The 18,108-nt window shown below is 50.5% G+C and overlaps 1 protein-coding gene across 13 annotated transcripts in view, besides 4 other annotated features; it reads right to left on the bottom strand.

Moving 5' to 3' along the window:
• Nucleotides 1-18,108, bottom strand: part of SIRPA (signal regulatory protein alpha) — a 46,426-nt gene that overhangs the window by 25,709 nt on the left and 2,609 nt on the right. The window contains exon 2 of one of the 13 annotated variants that reach the window (XM_047439915.1): nucleotides 483-685. The exons of 11 other annotated variants lie outside the window; for them this stretch is intronic. In XM_047439915.1, the coding sequence (XP_047295871.1) occupies nucleotides 483-561 (79 nt within the window). In that variant the 5' untranslated portion in view covers nucleotides 562-685. Of the gene's footprint in view, nucleotides 1-482; nucleotides 18,046-18,108 lie in introns of those variants that run through there. One more of the 13 variants, XM_011529173.3, reaches the window with a different exon arrangement.
• Nucleotides 8,231-8,310: a silencer, noted in NCBI's record as "silent region_12597". NCBI's record gives its function as "represses an Ori minimal core promoter by ATAC-STARR-seq in GM12878 lymphoblastoid cells {active_cell/tissue: GM12878}" and the evidence as "EXISTENCE:reporter gene assay evidence [ECO:0000049][PMID:35858748]".
• Nucleotides 12,526-13,025: an enhancer, noted in NCBI's record as "H3K4me1 hESC enhancer chr20:1882505-1883004 (GRCh37/hg19 assembly coordinates)". NCBI's record gives its function as "activates a minimal SCP1, AML or CMV promoter by ChIP-STARR-seq in primed H9 embryonic stem cells {active_cell/tissue: H9 hESC(primed)}" and the evidence as "EXISTENCE:reporter gene assay evidence [ECO:0000049][PMID:30033119]".
• Nucleotides 14,122-14,691: an enhancer, noted in NCBI's record as "NANOG-H3K27ac-H3K4me1 hESC enhancer chr20:1880839-1881408 (GRCh37/hg19 assembly coordinates)". NCBI's record gives its function as "activates a minimal SCP1, AML or CMV promoter by ChIP-STARR-seq in naive H9 embryonic stem cells {active_cell/tissue: H9 hESC(naive)}" and the evidence as "EXISTENCE:reporter gene assay evidence [ECO:0000049][PMID:30033119]".
• Nucleotides 14,263-14,312: an enhancer, noted in NCBI's record as "active region_17461". NCBI's record gives its function as "activates an Ori minimal core promoter by ATAC-STARR-seq in GM12878 lymphoblastoid cells {active_cell/tissue: GM12878}" and the evidence as "EXISTENCE:reporter gene assay evidence [ECO:0000049][PMID:35858748]".

Raw genomic sequence — 18,108 nt, 5'->3', positions numbered from 1 at the left:
CATGGCAGAGAGTGGGTTTGAATGCCTGGACCCTCTCTGGAAGAGTCACATCTGAGCTGGGCTAATTCTAATCTGAATGAGCCAGAAGGGAGCCTGGTATTCCAGACAGAGGGAACAGCCTGGGCAAAGACTCAGAGGTAGGGGCCTGGCATATCTGGGGCTGTACAAGGTGTTAAGATTCTGTTTCTGGCCTGGCCCAGGATGCAGGCCCCGAGAAGGGAGGCTGTACTCAGCGGTTTGGGCAGTAGGAGAATGTAGTTTGAGTTCTGGATCAGTGGCCTATAGCTGTGTCCTTGGGCCACCACTCAGGTAACCAAGAATATCCAATGTAGACTCGTGCCAGTGTGTTTGAGTCCCCACCTGGAACCCAGGACTGAGCCTGGCTAGCAAAGTGTCACACAAATGCAAGAGCTGCCCTTAGTTTGCCCTTACTGCTCTCAGCCTTGGTTTCTTCATCTGTAAAATAGTTACTATGACCCCACCTCGATGGATCTCTGGGAGGATAAAATAAGCCAAGGCTGGGGACAGCGTCCAAATGCAGCATCTGGTCTTTAGAGTCATCGGACCTGGTTTGAAACCTGGCTCGCCCCTTGTTCTTGTGGGACCTTAATTTATCCATCAGTTTTGAGTCTCAGTTTTCTTATCTACAGGATGGGTAGAACAGCCCCCAGGCCTCTGCTTTGTTCTGAAAAGAAAACGAGATCACACATAGAAGTCACTTAGCCCTGAGATGGGCCCTGAGGAAGTTGTTGTTACTATACATTGAATAAACAAGGAGGTGGCTGTGGCTCAAACTTCACTCTCACCAACACCTGCTGATGCCCTGTGATCCAGGCCTCACTGTGATGGGGACACACTGGAGCTGGACCCAGTCCAGGCCTCAAGGGCTCCCAAATGGGCAGCTGGAAGGAATTGTAGAGGTTGGCTGCAGGAGCCTGAGCCCCAATCAGAGACACTGGGGCACACAAGACAGGGACCCTGGGTGGAGAGATTGGGGTGCACGGGGGGAGCCCAGACAGGAAGAGGGCAGGACGAGCTTGTCATGAGATGCGTTGAAGATGGATAGGGACCAAGTGAGAACAGTTCAGAGCAAGGCAGAGCCAGGGCCTCGATTCTGAACAAGGTGAGGTACAAGAAACAAAAAAAAGAAAGATCATGATCATAAAGACCTCAGAGAAACACATGCCTGAGAGACAGACGCAGAGTGAGAGAGCGAGCTAGAATAGGGGAGAAGGAGAGAACCAGGTAGACAGAGGAGTGGCAGCTACCTGGTATGCAGGTGACAGGTGACCTGGGGCCCCAGTTGGGCTCTCCACTGACCCTTCATGTGACCTTGTCCTGCCCTGACCTGGGCCACCTTTGCCTTGTACATCAGACAAGGCTGCGGCAGATGTCCAGAGCTGCTGTGCCCCTCTGGCTCTGGCTGGGGAGGAGAGAGACCCTGTGAATTTGCCCACCAACCCATGGCCTGGCACCACCCCACTGGCAGGGGCAGGGCAGCCAGGGAAAGAGGCTCACAGACCCCTATCTGCCCTCACTGCAGGAAGCCCAGGGCTATCTGCCCATTGTCCTGCCTCTTTCTCCCATTCCCAGCCTCACCCAGTCTTGACTCTGGCAAGGGATCACCCTTGGGGCCCGGTTCTCATGGCAGGTGAGTGGAGTCTCAGAGTGCCTAAGACCACTCCACCTGCTTTGGGTGTAAATATTACCATTTCGACTTCCTTTTCCTGATCAACCACTTAAGACCTCAACTGCTTTTATTATCAGGAAGTCCAGCTTCTCATTTCATTTCCATTTGAAGTTGAACATGGCAAGATCTTCATGGCACAGGAGAAAAAAACAGAACCCACAGTGGACAGACAGAACCCACAGTGGACAGAGGCCCAGCCAGCATCAGACGGCCTGAGAGGGGTGAGGCTGGTGGCCAAATGTGTGGGAGGCCCGGGAGGCCCATCCAGGCGGGGACATCAGAGGCAGCACCAGCAGCACTGAGCTAGGAACTTTCCGGATAGGTCTGTATTTCAGCCTCGAGACTGGACCAACTGGAAAGGCTGCCTCGGGGAAGCACAGTTGCTAGGGCCAGCAGGCCTGGGTGACAGCATGGCTCCCCTCTTAGCCACCTCTGTACCCACCTTCCCTGGACCCCCATTCCATCATCCATGAAGTGGGGTTCCGGCATCCACCCCAGCACAGTCATGAGGACCCTGACACGGTGGTATGCCTGCTGCATAGGTGCTGGGTAAGTTTTAATTCTTATTCCCATTATTATCACATAGCTGTATTATTCACATATTTGATTTTCTCTGGATTGTCACATTCCCAATAGTAGGATGTAGGATCCACAAGGGACTGTTTCCAACCTCCTGCCTAAAACACAGTGTCATCGATAAAAATATGCAGAATGAATGCGGTAATGAATGAAGGAAGGAAGGATGTCGTTGGCTCCATGACCCTGGGCAAATCTCCTCTCTCTTCATGTGTTAGGTGGAGTTGATACTGGCATATCCAGGGGAGGGTGCAGGCCCGGAGCCCGGGACTCAGCCTGGCTTGCAGTTATTATTATCCTTATCAATAACACCACAAGGGGCTGTGAGTCAGCAGTTGGTGAGGGAGCAGGAGGCGCAGGAGAGGCTGCGGAGTCAGGCGTGCAGCATGTTGGAGCAGGGCTATTCTTGTGGTGCAGCCGGAGGCCTGTAATCACACCCCAGGCAGGCGACAATAAAATCTGGAGTTGTGTAGCGCTGGCTCCCCCATTTTTTTTTTAGCTCCTCTCGAGCTCTCTCCACCGACTGCAGCCAGATTTAGGCGGCTTAATTAATTAGCTAGTGTTTATAAAGCGTTTGAAGAATTTTAAAAGTGCGACGTAAGTGCCAAATATTATTTTAATCTGTGTATGTGTATGTTTTTTCCAGTAGAGAGGGGTTTTTTTTTTTTTTTCCTTGCTTGCTTTCTTTTTCTCTGCAGGTTCTGTTCTGAGAATCAGGCTTGTTAAAAATCACTCCTGGCTCTGGGTCTGGGGTCACTTGCTGGCCAAATTATTTCCTGCTTTCTCTTGCCCTCCTAGCAGAGGATGCGACTGTCCAGGGGCCTGAACCGTCTCAGGGAGAGGAGGGCGGCTGGGCAGGCATTCCCACGCACTGCCGGTGGGAGGGGAAATTGGAACATCTTTTCGGGAAAGCAGCTTGGCAGGATGAACCAAAGGTGTGAAATCTGTTCACCAGCCTTTGCTGGGCTGCTCCCTGAGGACGTAACCCCAGATATGGAGTAGGTTTCCTGTATAACGATCTTAAAGACATTAGAAAAAGCCCAGCCGGTCAATGATAGGGGATGGTTAAGTGAATTACGGCCTATCCCCTATGTGGAATTACAGGCAGCCGTAACAAGCCATTACCATGAAAACGGTGGTCATATAGAAATTTTCATGGCATCATTTTAAATAATATTGTGTTTATGCAAATAAAACCTGTTCATTGCAAGGCATTTAGAGAAAATAAGTATGGAAACAAAGTAATAATCTCACATCATACCATCAAAGATAACTGTAATCAACATTCTGATGTAGTAAAAATATGAGTGAAGAAAAACAATCTAACATCATACCTTTAGGTAACTAAGAATATGTGCAGACATTTTGCTTCATTCACTTAAGTGTCTGTATGAAAATAAAAAATTGAAAATATCCTAATATCCAAGGAAAGGAGATTGGCTGATCCCATTATGGTGAATCTACTTTCACAGCTATAGGCCAAGTCTATAGCCATGAAAATGATGGTATAGAATTACAATGGAAATGTGTTACAAGATCAGAGTCTGTTACCAAGTAGTAGATCCAGTGTGATCCCAAACTCCCAATTTTAGAAAAAAACAATGATATTAAAGATTAGCCATGATTGAGTGGTAGATTTACATGGGATTTTGCTCTTGTTTATGTTTTCTGTTTGCATTTCTTTTGTAAGAAAAAAAAAGATGGAGAAAAATCTATACCCTCTGTATGATCATGACTTTGTAAAATAAAACTATATATAAACAACTGGAGGGTATTAAACAAAGCTATAAAATGTAACTCTCTTTGGATCATGAATCTAAACCTCATGAGGTTTTTCTCTTTTTTTCCCCTCCTACTTTGGGCATTGTTTCAGCTTCTCTAAATTGGATGAACACAAAAGAATATTTATAGTATCTCATTTTGTTTTTTAAAAAACCTGTACATGTAATGATGTATGTTACCGTATGTGTACTGTTTAAATGAACCTCTCCTCCAGGGATTTAGTCTGTTTTGTTCACTGTTTCCCCAGCTCCTGCTACTGTGGTTGGCACAGTGTAGACGCTCGATAAATCTTTGTTGATTGGTCAATCGCATGTCTAGAGAAAAAGGTCTGCAAGGATGATAAGTTAAACATGGCATGCTGTGGTGTGTTGCATCTGGGAAATGGGACTGAGGTAGGATGGGGTCGGCATGTTTTCTTATTACTTTATAATACATCATATATTGTATTTTTTTGCAGTGAACATTTATTGGTTTTGGAAAAAAGTTAAAAAGTAATGAAACAAAACACACGAACACGTTTCCTAAGGGGAGCAGTCAGCACAGTGGGTGGTCACCATATGTTTGCTGTAAGAGGAACTCAGTGTCCACAGCAAGTGCGGTCAGTGCTGCATTCTGGATCCTTCCCTGTGCCAGGCCCTGAGCTAAGGGCTGTGAAATGGCTGTGTCCCTGGCCTCATGGAGCTTCCACCCTCGAGGCAAAGATGGATTTCAAAGAAATCACTCAAATGATTACATCTGGAATGTACCTAACCCCCCTGGGCAAGAGGCTCCTGCTGGCATCTTAGATCCCATCTCCCGGCCCCTTCCTGTGACCTGCTTCTCCCGCCACATCTCCTTTCTCTTCTTTGAATTGGCCAAGGAGGGTGTGACCACCTGCATTGAATGCCACTGAGAGATGCAATAAGATGGGGGCTGAGAACTGACCACTGGGATTTAGAAAATATATTTGATTTCTTAAAAAACAATGTTCATGTGTGTGGCTTTTGAGATTAAAAGATGAAAATATTTCATAAAGGGTGAAAAAAATTAGCATGGATACTTTTTTTTTCTTTTGAGACGAAGTCTCACTCTCATCACCCAGGCTGGAGTGCAATGGCACAATCTCGGCTCACTGCAACCTCCACCTCCCGGGTTCAAGCAATTCTCCTGCCTCAGCCTCCCAAGTAGCTGGGGTTGCAGGCGCCTGCCACCACACCTGGCTAATTTTTGTATTTTTAGTAGAGATGGAGTTTCACCATGTTGGCCAGGCTGGTCTCAAACTCCTGACCTCAGGCGATCTGCCCGCCTCAGCCTCCCAAAGTGCTGGGATTACAGGCATGAGCCACTGCGCCCTGCCCACATGGATGTTTTTTCTAATAGAAAAAAAAATCAACTTAGAACTGAAGCTTGAGGCGGGGATGGGGAGGGCTGCCTTACCCTGGGGTGTGAGTCTTCCAGAAGCCTGTCTCAAGGGGTGGGGAGAAGGAAGCCAACAGGCACATTTCCCAAGAACCAGCCTTGCCCAGGCGGGTGCTCACTGCCACTGCATGGGAGCTTGCCCATCCCCCGGAAGCAGTGGGTCACCACAGCACAAGCCACAGGGACAGGCAGGAGGCCACCTGTTTGGATTCTTTGTAGATTCTTTGTTTGTACTCAAGGACCCCCAGGGTCTGGGAGGCTATGGCTGGAGCTCTGGCAGTACACAGGGCTCAACATTCTAAAGTGGCTGCAGTGATACCCGGCTCCCTTCTTCCCTCATCATTATTGTTATTCACCATCCTCAGAAGGCTGCGATTTTCCACCCCGCACTTATAGCAGCTCCTCATCGGGGGCTGCCTCTACTATCTTCTGGGTGTGATTTAATGCTGTGTGCCAGAGTATGCAGTGCAAGAGTGTGCATTAAAGAGGGTGCTCACAGGATGTAGTACAGGACCTTGCAATAGCACATGTGAACATAAATGTGCATTAAGGCGGATGCAAACAGGATGTAATAAAGGGCTATGCAGAGAACATGTGAACATTAAGAGTGCATTAAAGAGGATGTACACAGGATATAGTACAGGGCTGTGCAATAGAACACGTGAACATGAGTGTACATTAAAGCGGATGCACACAGGATGTAGTACAGGGCTGTACAATGGAACATGTGAACATGAGTGTGCTGAGGGTGCATAAGAGTATGCACACGAGAACACACGTGTGTACATACATGTATGCGTGTACAGAGCATAAGCATCTGCACACACATGTACACATGGGTGGGCACAAGGAGGAGTGTGAAAGAGACGGTGCCTGTGTGCCGGAATATGTCAGAGTGCAACACAGGACTGTGTCTGAATGGGGGGCTAGGGATCATGGGCGTGGGCATGTGAATTGTGTGCAGGAGAGTGTCTGAATCATGGTGGCCTGGGCATGTGTGGGAGGGTGTGAGTGTGTGGGAGAGTGATGCAGGAGCGGCATGCACGTGAGTGTGGTGTGTATGTGTGTGTAGAGGGTGTGTGTGGGGGGTGGCACGTGTGTGACAGAGTGCTGTATGCGTAAATGTGACTATGAGGGTGTGTGCATTGACAAGCAGGGAGGTATGCACATGCCACTATTTGTGTGCACCCCAGGTGTCCGTGTGCCTGTGTTCGGGAGTGTGTCCAGCTGGGCATGTGCCTGGAATAGATGAGGTTGCTGTGTAAGTTTCCACAAGCACAAGGGTGATGGAGGATGTGAGGAGACACACTTCCCTCAAGTCTGCCATGGGCTCCTGGCGGTCAACACCCTGTGTGGTATCTGTCTAGGGTCGTGCCCTTGATAGGAGGTGCTAACCTTTCCAGAGCACCTACTTACTATGTGCTGGCCACAGGGCACAGCTGTCAACAGGCTAGCCCAGAACCATCTGCTGGAGCCCATGACCCCATGCAGGAAGGCGAAAGGTAGCTGGGGCTGCATTCATGGCCGGGGCTGCACCAGTGGATGGCTGCATGGATGCCACAGTTCCCAAGAAGAGAGCTTGGGGCTCCAACAGCCAGGACTACACAGTGATTTCCTCTGGAGTCAGAATGATTCATTCATGCCCTCTCAAACCTCACTCTGCTGCCAGGCCCTGTCCTAGATACCACAGAAAACAGAGCCAAGTAAGACAGGCCCTTGCCCTTGAGACTATCTTAGCATGTGGGGCCGTCCTGGACATGAGCAATGACCACGCACATGGCGATCGGTGTTGCAAGAGGAGGTTTAGGGATGGGGTTCTGGAAGAGAGTGAAACCCAGGAAGACTTCCTGGAGCTGGTGGCCCCTGAGCTAGGTCTTAAAGGCTGACAGAGGCTGGGATGAAGGAAGGCATTCCAAGAGGAGGGAACCACATGAGCAAAGACGCAGAGGTGACAGGACTCAGGGTAGAGTCCTTGGAACATGCTCACTGGCTGTAAGGAAGCTGAGATGGGGAGGACCTGGGACTGGGCTAACCTAGCGCCCTGAAGGATGGTTTCGGTTGCCCATCTGAAGAGCAGGCCAGCACTGGGAACATTCTGCCGGCACCACTGGATACACCCATTGGGCAGGGACAAACCAGGTGCTGTGATAGAAACTGCTACCTGCATTGAAGCCACCAAAAATGGGGATGCGTGTGGCCTGGTAAATAAGCTGACAGCTGGCCCAGGGGCTCAGGGTCCCCACTCCTTCACCCTTGCCCTGGGTAGCTCTGAGAACTCAGTGCTGTGCCACATCCCTGCAGGGAAGGGGCAGACTCTGGTGGCCCCATCCATGCAGTAGGTAAACTTCTAAGGTGCTAAGACTGTCCAGAGCTCAGGTTCTGGGGCCAGATGACCTTTATGTCTTGTCTGTAGCACGGTGCTTGGCAAAGTTGCTTTTCTCTAAGCCTGTTTCCTCACCTGTAAACAGGAAATGCAGCCCCCTCCCTCCCCAGGTCAGAGGCTCTGTGGTTAGAAGTGCTGGACTCAGAATGAGACATTTCCTTGACTCCCTTTCATCCGTGTTCCACAACCCATCTGTTAGTAGATCCTGCTGGCTCAACTTCCAACACATGGCCAGACCCTGACCTCTTCTTACCACCCTGACTGAACCTCCACGCTGACCTCCCTGCCTCTGCCTCACCTCTCTACCAGCCACATTCCCCCAGCAGCCAGAGAAGCCTCTAAAACCTAAGTCAGGTGACGTTCCTCCTTTGTGCAAAACCCTCCCACAGCCCCCACTGCACTCAGAGTGAAACCCAGAATTTTTACAGTGGCCCCAGGGGCCTACAGCCTTGCTTTCCCCCAATCGTGCCAGATTCTCCACTCACCACATGACCTTTGCACTCGCCATTGCCTCTGCCTGGCACTCTCATCCCTAAATATCTACATGTCTGGCTCGCTCCTCTCCTTCAGGCCTATCTGAGAGGCCTTCCTTGGCCATTCTGTCTAAAATACTACCCACCTCAATGTCCCTGGCTCTGCTTCATTGTTCGATATGTCATCCTCACTCAAAAAGCTACGCATTTCCTTGTTAATTTTTTAAAAGCGCTCATCTCCCTGTCATAGACTCACTTATAAGTCCTTTGAGAGCAGGAACTGAGTTTTCTTCCCCAGGGTTGGAGCAGTGCCTGGCACTGGCTGAAAGTATGTTTTGATTTGGATTCCAACTCTGCTACCCATGAGACTCCAGGGAATGTCTCGCCCACTCTGGACCTCTGGCTCTTTATCTGTAGAATGGGTCTGATGATGATGATGATGATAACAATACTAGGGTTGTTCTGAGGATGAAACGGGCTAGCGTGCCTGGCACAGAGTAAGTACTCAATGCAGAGCAGCTGTCACCATGCAGATGGGTGTCTAAAGATGAAGGGGGCGACAGATGACCACGTCCTTAAGCCTGAGAGGCTCGGGATCCTCTCCGAGGCAGAACCAGCTCTGCCTTGATGCATGCATGAGGCCCCTCTGGCATGGGCCTGTAAGCAGGCTGAGCACACTGCTGGCAAGGAGGCAGCGGGGACAGGCGGCACTGGGAGCCCTATGGAGCATTTGCTGGGTTCAGATGAAACCTGGAGGTGATGAAGCGATGCTTGCAGTGTGACCCTGTTTGCAAAGTGGCAGGAAAAGAACTGCAAATCTGTGTAAATATCCTTTAGAATTAACAGGCTTCGGGGGACCGGCAGAGGCTGAGAGAGCAGGTAGAGGACATTGACATCTACTAGGCTTGGTGCCTTGACAACCTAAGGACCTTTCCTCCTCCTCATTTTGCAGAGGAAGAAACTGAGGCCTGGAGTAAGGCCTGGAGAGGCTGAGGTTGGGAGGTCCTCCCAATCTCCAGGCCCCAACCATTGCCCTGAGACAGGCCCTGGTGCTGCACAGCCACACTTTCATGGGGGAAATGCATGGGTTAGGCCAGATAACCAGAAGCCTTCATTTAGCCCTCAGGACATCCTGGCCCAGAGTGGCAGGTGCTATTGTCACTGTCCCCTCCTACAGATGAGGAAGCAGAGTCTGGAGAGGTAGGTAAGTGGCAGAGGTGGGATTCCAACACTGGAGGCTGGAGCCACCCCATGCGATCGCCTCTCCCTGTGACAGGTCCCCTCCAGTTCAGGCTTCTGGATTCTCAGGTTGCCAAGGATGCGCACACATTTTCCCAGCTGAGATAAAGGCCCTCTTAAAAGCAACACGCATTTATTAAACGACATTTGCCAGGGTTTCAGCACACTGCCGGCAGCAGACAGTCTCCGGACTGACGGGATTTTTCCCCAAGCTGACACTATTCACTGATTCCTTTTATAGAGCATTTTGCAGCTTGCAAAAGCACTTTCCACGGCTCTTAATTCCTTAACCCTCAACAGTCACCCATTTGGGAGGAAACAGTGTTAGCGGTTCCATTTTGCAGATGGGGAAACGGAGGCTCAGAGCTGGGAAGACACCTGCCCCAGAGCACACAGCCAGTAAGCGGCACATGCTGGACTCCAATTCAGGAATGTGCCCCAGAGCAGAAGCCCCTCCATGGCCTCTCCTCCCAGAGGAGTCTGTGGAGTCATCAGGACAAAGGGCCAGGAGGACATGCAGGCTGGAGCATCAGGGCTGGAAGGGACCTGCAAGAGAGGAGCCGAGCCAAGCCTCCCGGTCACAGAAGGGGAAACTGAGGCTGAGGGGGCAGAGGAGTGGGTTCCAGGTCTCCCCGCTGGCAAAAGATGGAGCTTTTAAAATTCCCAAACCATAAAACGATGACAATCACATAACAGCAGTAACAATAGCTAATAAGCATCGACGCTGCCCAGAGCAAGACAGGCCTCATGGAACCTCTGCAGGAGCCCAGTAAGACAGGGCTGTCGCCACCCCCATTTCACGGAGGACCAGATGTGAAGCTTTGGGAGGTACAACCATTTGGCCATGGTCACAGGGCTGCCGAGTGGTCTGATTCCACCTCCCTCTGTTGTAACCCCCACCCCGCACCAGACTGCCTCGTGCAGTGACCCTCTGGGGGAGGCTAACCTCGAGGTGGGGCCTCCAAGCCAACCCCCAGCCAAGAGTGCAGCACTAATTACGTCATGTTTCATGGTTGCAGCACCTGATCATTCATCATGGTGTCTAAAGTTGGGCAAGCAGTTTGCGTAGCCAGAATTTTAAGTACAAATTCCGGGGTTTCTTGGCCGCCTCCTCCTATCCCTCCTGGCATTGATATCTTTGTGCTTCCTGATATCTTAGGGCTATTCATGACAGCTTGATGGGCAGGGAATTGTGGTATGATCCCGGCCCTGGCTGCAGGGGGGGGACTGTGGTAGTTAGGGAATAAGCTTTGCTCGTACAACCTCATAACTCCAAGCCTCCTCTTTAAAAGGGGGATTTTAGTACCCACCTTGTTCTTTCATTCAATCAGTATCTATTAACCCACCTACTGTGTGTCAGGCCCTGTGCTGAGGTCCTGGGAGGCCCAACAGTGAGTAAGAGACATAGCCCATCTCTCGTGCAGCTTATATCCTAGTGGAGGAGACAGGGCTGAAATAATGAAATGAATTAATATAGAAAGGGCTAGGAGCACTAGGCAACAGGCAGATTTGGCCCAGTGATAGAGAATCACAAGCGATAACCTCTTTTGGAATGGGGTGGTTGGGACAGCATCCAAGGAAGGGAGGTGGCAGCTGAGACCCAAAGGAAGTGAAGACCAGGGAAGATGCTCCCGTAGAAGAGACAGCCAGTGCAAAGGCCCTCGGGTGGGAAAGAAGCTGGTGAAGGGCCAGAAAGGACGCTGCCAAGGCTGAAGCCCAAGGAGGCAGGAGAGTGGTAAGAGGTGAGGATGAAGAGACAGACGTGGTCCAGAAATGCCATGCTGGAAACCGAAAAAGGTTTCCAGCAGAACCAAAGATGACTTGATTCACTCCAGCTGCTATGGGTGAAGAGCCCGAAGGGGGCAAGGACGGCTGCGGAAAGCAGCAATGGGGATGCTGCAGCATTCAGGGACCTAAATCCTAGTTCTGCACATAAAAGCTGTGTGACCTTAGGCAAGTCACTTTACCTTTCTGAGTCTCAGTTTCTTCATCTGTCCAATGGATTAACGGTATTTCCCATCTTACAGAACCCGTGGTGAGAATTAAATGAGAGAATGCATAATGATCCTCTCACAAGCCAGACATGCTCCATGTTAGGTGCTCAATGAGCCAGATCCTGCTGGTCTGGCCCTGACCTCTGCTCACTCCCCCACCTCTTCTACTTTCACTCCAGCCCCACTGGCCTCTTTGCAATTCCTGGAACATACAAGCTCATTCCTGCCTCAGGGCCTTTGCATCTGCCATTCCTCCCACATGGAGGGCTCTTGCTATCCCCCGTGGCTACTCCTCCATTTTCTTTTCTTTCTTTTCTTTTTTTTTTTTTTTTTTTTTGAGACAGAGTCTTGCTCTGTCACCCAGGCGGGAGTGCAGTGGTGCAATCTCGGCTCACTGCAACCTCTGCCTCCTGGGGTCAAGCGATTCTCCTGCCGCAGCCTCCAGAGTAGCTGGGATTCCAGGCGCACGCCACCATGCCCGGCTAATTTTTGTATTTTTAGTGGAGATGGGATTTCGCCATGTTGGCCAGGCTGGTCTCAAACTCCTGACCTCAGGTGATCTGCCCACCTCAGCCTCCCAAAGTGCTGGGATTATAGGCGTGAGCCACCGCACCTGGCCTTAATTGTACATTTTCTTGAGGCCTCTGCTCCTTAGAGCGGCCCTCCCTCTGTCCTGACTAACCTTCTCCCTTCCCTCCTCCTGCTTTTCTCCCCAGCTACCTGGCATCATTTGTTTACTTGGGTGTGTTTTTCTCTTCCTCACTAGAATGTCTGCTGCACGAGAGCAGGTGTTTTTGTCTGTCTTGTTCACATTTGTATCCTCCAAGCACCTAGAGCCATCCCTGGCACATAGTAGGTGCTCAAAAATATTTGTTGAATGAATATTTACAATTAAAATGACCCTAATAATGACTGCAAAGTGGTTAAGGGTAAAGTGAGGAGTGGAGCCTGGCTTTACCTCTCACTGGCTGTGTGGCCTAAGGATGAGCCCCACTTGGCCTTGGGAAGCCTCAGTTGCCTTATCTGTAAAGTGGGGATGAAGGGCCATACTGTTTGGCTCGTGGTGAGGGTCAGGTAACAGCTCACATGAAGGGATGTGGAGAGAGTATCGGTGGGTGAAATGATACCCCATGTTTAGCACTTGCTTTATATACTCCCCGATTCTCCTCTCCCTAGCAAAAATAGGGGCAGGGGACAAGCATGGTATAGAGTTGATCAGTGTCAAAGCTGAGGCTCATTACATCATTCCTTCTCATTTTGCATATGTTTGAAATTTTCCAAAATAAAAAGATAAGGAAGAGCTAACACATGTTCAAGGCTCAGCCTGTGCCGAGCACATCGTGTACCTAGTATTTCCTTCCACCACGGGCTTCCATTTCTGGAGAACACCGACGGTCGGCCTGAAGAATGGAGCTGTAGAAACGGCGCTGGTATCACCGCCCACCTGCTCCAGCCGTCCCTCCTGGCTGGGAGGCCCATCGCTCACTCCCGGCTTCCAATTTCCCTCCTGATCCGAGCACCTGATCTCCTTGGGCTCTTGGCGCTAATCTGCAGCCATCTAACACCCTGCGCCCCCGAACGAATGTGCCAGGAAATCTTACAGACACAAAGAACCAATTCTGCAGCATTTCCGACTTCCACCTCAGCTGTTTTGCATCTCTCTGGACTGAGGGCCTGGCAAGACACCTGGCAGGGAAAATCCATCTCGTGGAGGGCTTCATCAGAATACCCATCCCAGGAACACCAGCAGTTAACAGGAAAGCAGTTTCAGCTGTGAAAATAGATGCTTCCTTCTCTAGTATGGGGACAGGGACACACCTTGGGGACACACACTGCCCCCACCTCATAGGAAGGTGCACTGATAGAAATACGAGAGGAGGCCGGGTGCAGTGGCTCACGCCTGTAATCCCAGCACTTTGGGAGGCCGAGGCGGGAGGATCACCTGAGGTCAGGAGTTTGAGACCAGCCTGATCAATATGGTGAAACCCAGTCTCTACTAAAAACACAAAAATTAGCTGGGCGTGACGGTGTGCGCCTGTAGTCCTAGCTACTGGGGAGGCTGAGATAGGAGAATTGCTTGGACCCAGGAGGCAGAGGCTGCAGTGAGCCGAGGTCGCACCACTGCACTCCAGCCTGGGCGACAGAGCAAGACTCCGTCTCAAAAAAAAAAAAAAAAAAAAAAAAAGAAAGAAAGAAAGGAAGAAAAAACAAAAACAAAAATGAGAGGAGCACTAAGGGAGCAGGGTGCCAGCACAACTGGGCCTCAGTTTCCCTACCTGTCAAGCAAGCCTCAGTGACGGCTAAGGAATGGCACAACAGTTAACCACATAGGCTCTGTGATTAGGCCGACAGTGGTTATCCACATCTGGCGCTTACGGTGTGGCCTTGGGCAAGCTGCTTCACCATTCAGAGCCTCAGTTTCCTCACAGATCCAACGGGTCCGAAGATAACGACGTGCATCGCCAGGTGGCTGTGAGTACCACCAGGGTCACACACACCAAGTGCTGAGCCCAGGAAGCAGAGAACCCAGATGGTTCCTATTAGTATTACTTTAGTGTTTTCCCGGGGAATTCGGGATCCTGTCAGATTTCTGGCTGAAACAGTGGAAAGTTCCAGCACAGCCCAGTTTTTAAAAGCCTTGGCCTGGACCACAGGAGGCTTGGCGTTCCAGCCGGGCCTTGCCATGGATCTCCCGCGTGGGCCCGGCCAGTTTTTTTCTCTCTGTTCTTCTGGCCGCACCATAAGGCACTGGATGAAAGCACAGAGGGCTCTCTCAGGCCCCCTACTGCTTTGCAGGTCCGGGAATCCACAACTGCAGACCTGTGGATCCAGATAGAGACACCTAGAGGCAGGCTGTGCCCACAGCACTCAGTCCCTAGTAACAGGCAATTAAATCACTCTAGCCTGGGTTTCTACTCAACTTGTCCATCCCCCAACAGCATAAAAGCTACAAGGACAGCTGGGTGGTGCGGTGGCTCAGCCTGTAATCCCAGCACTTTGGGAGGTGGATCACCTGGGGTCAGGAGTTCGAGACCAGCCTGACCAACACGGAGAAACCTTGTCTCTACTAAAAATACAAAATCAGCCAGGCATGGTGGCGCATCCCTGTAATCCCAGCTACTCGGGAGGCTGAGGCAGGAGAATCGCTTGAACCCAGGAGGCGGAGGTTGCGTTGAGCCGAGATCACGCCATTGCACTCCAGCCTGGGCAACAAGAGTGAAACTCCATCTCAAAAAAAAAAAAAAGAAAAAAAAAAAGCTACAAGGAAAATATCAAGCTGAAGGACATTTGTTCACTGAACAGCCTTTGCTGTTTTTTAAGTACCCCCTATGTGTAAGCAACTGTGTTAGATGTTTTATGAAAATCCGTCCCAATTGTTAAAAAAGAGGAATCAAACCAGAATAAAGCCATGCTAATTACAACACTGGTTAATATGTATTGAGTGCTTACTACATACAAGGCATGGCTTCCAGCATTATACACGCATTAATTAACTTAATCCTTGCAATAGAGTGGTTAATACCATTCCTCTTTTACAGATGAGCAAAATGAGACACAGATTCCTGCAAATTGTCCAAGTCAGTAGCAGGGCTCAGATCAACACCCAGGGGTCTTAGCACCATCTTAGCGCTAGGCCAGGGTGTGTGTCTGCGTGGAGAGGCTCCTCTGACCTCTCCCCAGGAGGCACATTAAATTGAACCTCGGAGGATGAGTAGGATTCAGACACAGGAAGACAAGGAGGTACAGGGAGGGCATTTCTGATGGCAGGAACAGCACGGGCCAAGGCACAGAGCTGAGAGTTCAGCTGAGGGCATGGATCTGTAGAAAACCGTTTACCAAACGGAGAGAGGCCACATGCTAACGGGCATACTACAAATCAAATGCCTCTCGTTCATAAGTTCAGGGAACACTGGAGTAAATGTGACCCAGCTCGGGATTCTACATTGCAGGGCTTCTCAGGGTCTTTGGGGTGCTCGTGTGGCTGAGTAGCCAGCAAAGCTCTGGTCTGCAGGGAGGAAGCCTGGTTATCCTGCAGCATCTCAACAGGTCAGCTTGTTGGAAAACATGTGGCTGGAAATCAGGCCTGGCAGGGAGGAAGCCCAGGCCTCACGGCAGCTTTGTGTTTTTTTGTTTTTTTTTTTTAAAGAAAACTTGGACCCACTCAACAGTTTTGAGCTGGGGAGTGACATGATCTGAGTTGTGTTGACAGGCCAGAAATCTGAGCACATTTAAAAAGAGAGAGAGAGGGGGGAAACCTTCCGTCAGTCCAAGACTACAAATAAGAAAATAACCTGTCGCACGGAGCCATTGGAAGCAGCAAGCGAGCGCGTGTGGGATCCGTACAACACTTTTAGACTCCCTTCCTCTCGCACACCCCCTCTCCATCTGTCGCAAAGGGCACCAGGAAGATGCAGGGAGGAATATTCCAGCTCTGGGGGCTCCAGAGCTCAGCAGCCCAGATGGGGGGCTCTCACAGGAGCCACATCACCTCTCATGTGTTGTTACTGGTGAGGACCAAGGGGCTGTCAGTATTTCCACCCTCAGCAGGCTTTCAGAGAAATGCCTGTGACTTCATCAAAACCTTCTGCCCAGAGAAAGAACTCTTCTACAGTCCTCCACCCAAGGCCAGAAAGGGGCCTCTCTCACTCCCTCTCCAGCTTGGACTAAATCATCCTGATTAAGTCATTGAGCTTCTTCCCTAGAAGCCACCCAGCAGGAAGGCCAGCATCCAAAATCCTGGCTCCTCTCTATCACTTATAAGTTAGTTCCCCAGTTTGGGACTCGATTTTCTGCATCTGCAGAATGGGGAGAAGAGCCAATCCATGTCTTGCGGGTGAGACGACGCAGGAGCAGCATCCGGCCTGGAACGCCATTAACTATCTAATGAATGTTGGTTTTCCTCCCTTCTCTCAACACATGGTTCACACCAGCACTGCATAGGTGCTGCATGACTGCAAGTACAGACGTGAATTACCGTGAGTTTCCGAGGGGTTGGTAAAGGCCAGAAAGTACTCAGAGAAAACTATGGCTTTAAAGGAACTTCCAACAGCCTGATGTGTTGAGCCAAAGCACTCCCGCCCCGTTTTCTCTTCTTACGAAAGAGGAAGTGAGATTAACTTTACCATTTAGGAAAGTACAGAGGAGCCCCCAGAGTGCCACCCTCTACCAAACGGTGAGAGGTTCACTGGGGGGCCCCGCTGCTCCCCAGAGCCTGAACTGCAACTTGGCTTGGCCTCCTCCAGGCCAGAGAGAAGAAATGAATGGGAGTTTATCTGAGGTCGGCCTGGGGGGTGACTCAGAGGTCTCAAGGCCTACCTGGGGCCAAGCAGGCATCCTGCGGGTTCAGCGTCAGGCCCTGCTGACACAAAATCAGGTGCCAGGTGTCCCCAGGCCTCAGTCCCTTGCCCTTCTCCCAGCCTCAGAATCTCCCTCAGTGCAGTTGTTTTAGGAAACAGGCCTCACATTGGGTCCAAAAACATAGGTTGGTGACTTCACTGGGATCTTTTTAGAATTTCCCTTTGGCAGCATTTGTGCTAAAAGCAATCTTTAGAAACTTCTTCTCTTGCCTCCCCCACCCAGGATAATTCACATGATTGGCCCCACCCCCCCAAAACAGTGATCATGTGAAGACACAGGAATCATGTGACACCTCCCAGGCTGACAGTTCTGCCTGAGACACTAGTAGTCATTCAATCCAAAGCCGCCTTCCTAAACCTGACATTTTAGTTTCTCACTCGAACAAATCCATTTTCTTAGAAAATTGGACAACTGCCTCCTTGTACCTTCCTACCCTCATATCCTGTCTCTCTACTTCTTTGTTGTAAATTCCATGTCTGGAGCAATAGGGGGAGGGGCCTGAGGCCCCATCCTTCAGCCAAACCAGGTGACTTCCCTGCCCAGGCCCATGGTGTGACCAGGACCCCGAAGAACAGATACTGAAGGATAATGGGAGACTTGAGCTATGATGGTCGCACCTCATCCCTTCCCCACCACCCTCGACCAAGAAATTCATTCTTACCTCCTAAGATTTATTTATTTCAAAGCTAATCTTGGCCCCTCTGCTGCTCCCACTTTTTCAGGCTATTGATGCTGAATGGATTGGAACGGAAGTTTTATGGCCCAATCTTTACCATCTTATAGACTGTTTTTATAGGCAAAAGGGGGAGATGTGCTCACAAGAAAGGTGTTGGTGTTCCCAGCCGGTGCCCCAGGAAAGGCAGGCTGCCCATCGGAGCACTTGCTAATCAGCGTCACTGCTCGTTTGCCAGGGACTGAACCACAGCCTCCTGGTCGGAGAAGGGTCTGGAATAGACATTTAGAAATTAACTCGGGCCCAATTCCCTGCTTCAGGAAAATTAAGCACTTGTGAGTGACACTTGTGCATTTCCAGGCCAGGAAGGATGGCAGGGCAGGAACTCGGACTTTTGCAGGGTACAAATGGCCAGCTCAGGCAGGAAGGAGCAGATAGGAGATGCCACTCACTGGAGAGACGTGAACTGTATCAGTGCTCCCTTCAGCCCAGCAAGGACGCAACTATAACTGAAAAGAACTGGGGGTGGAGGGTGGGGTGGG

The sequence above is a fragment of the Homo sapiens genome, chromosome 20 (assembly GCF_000001405.40).
Source record: "Homo sapiens chromosome 20, GRCh38.p14 Primary Assembly".
Classification (NCBI taxonomy): Eukaryota; Metazoa; Chordata; class Mammalia; order Primates; family Hominidae; genus Homo; species Homo sapiens.
This window is presented reverse-complemented; position numbering and strand designations above follow the sequence as displayed.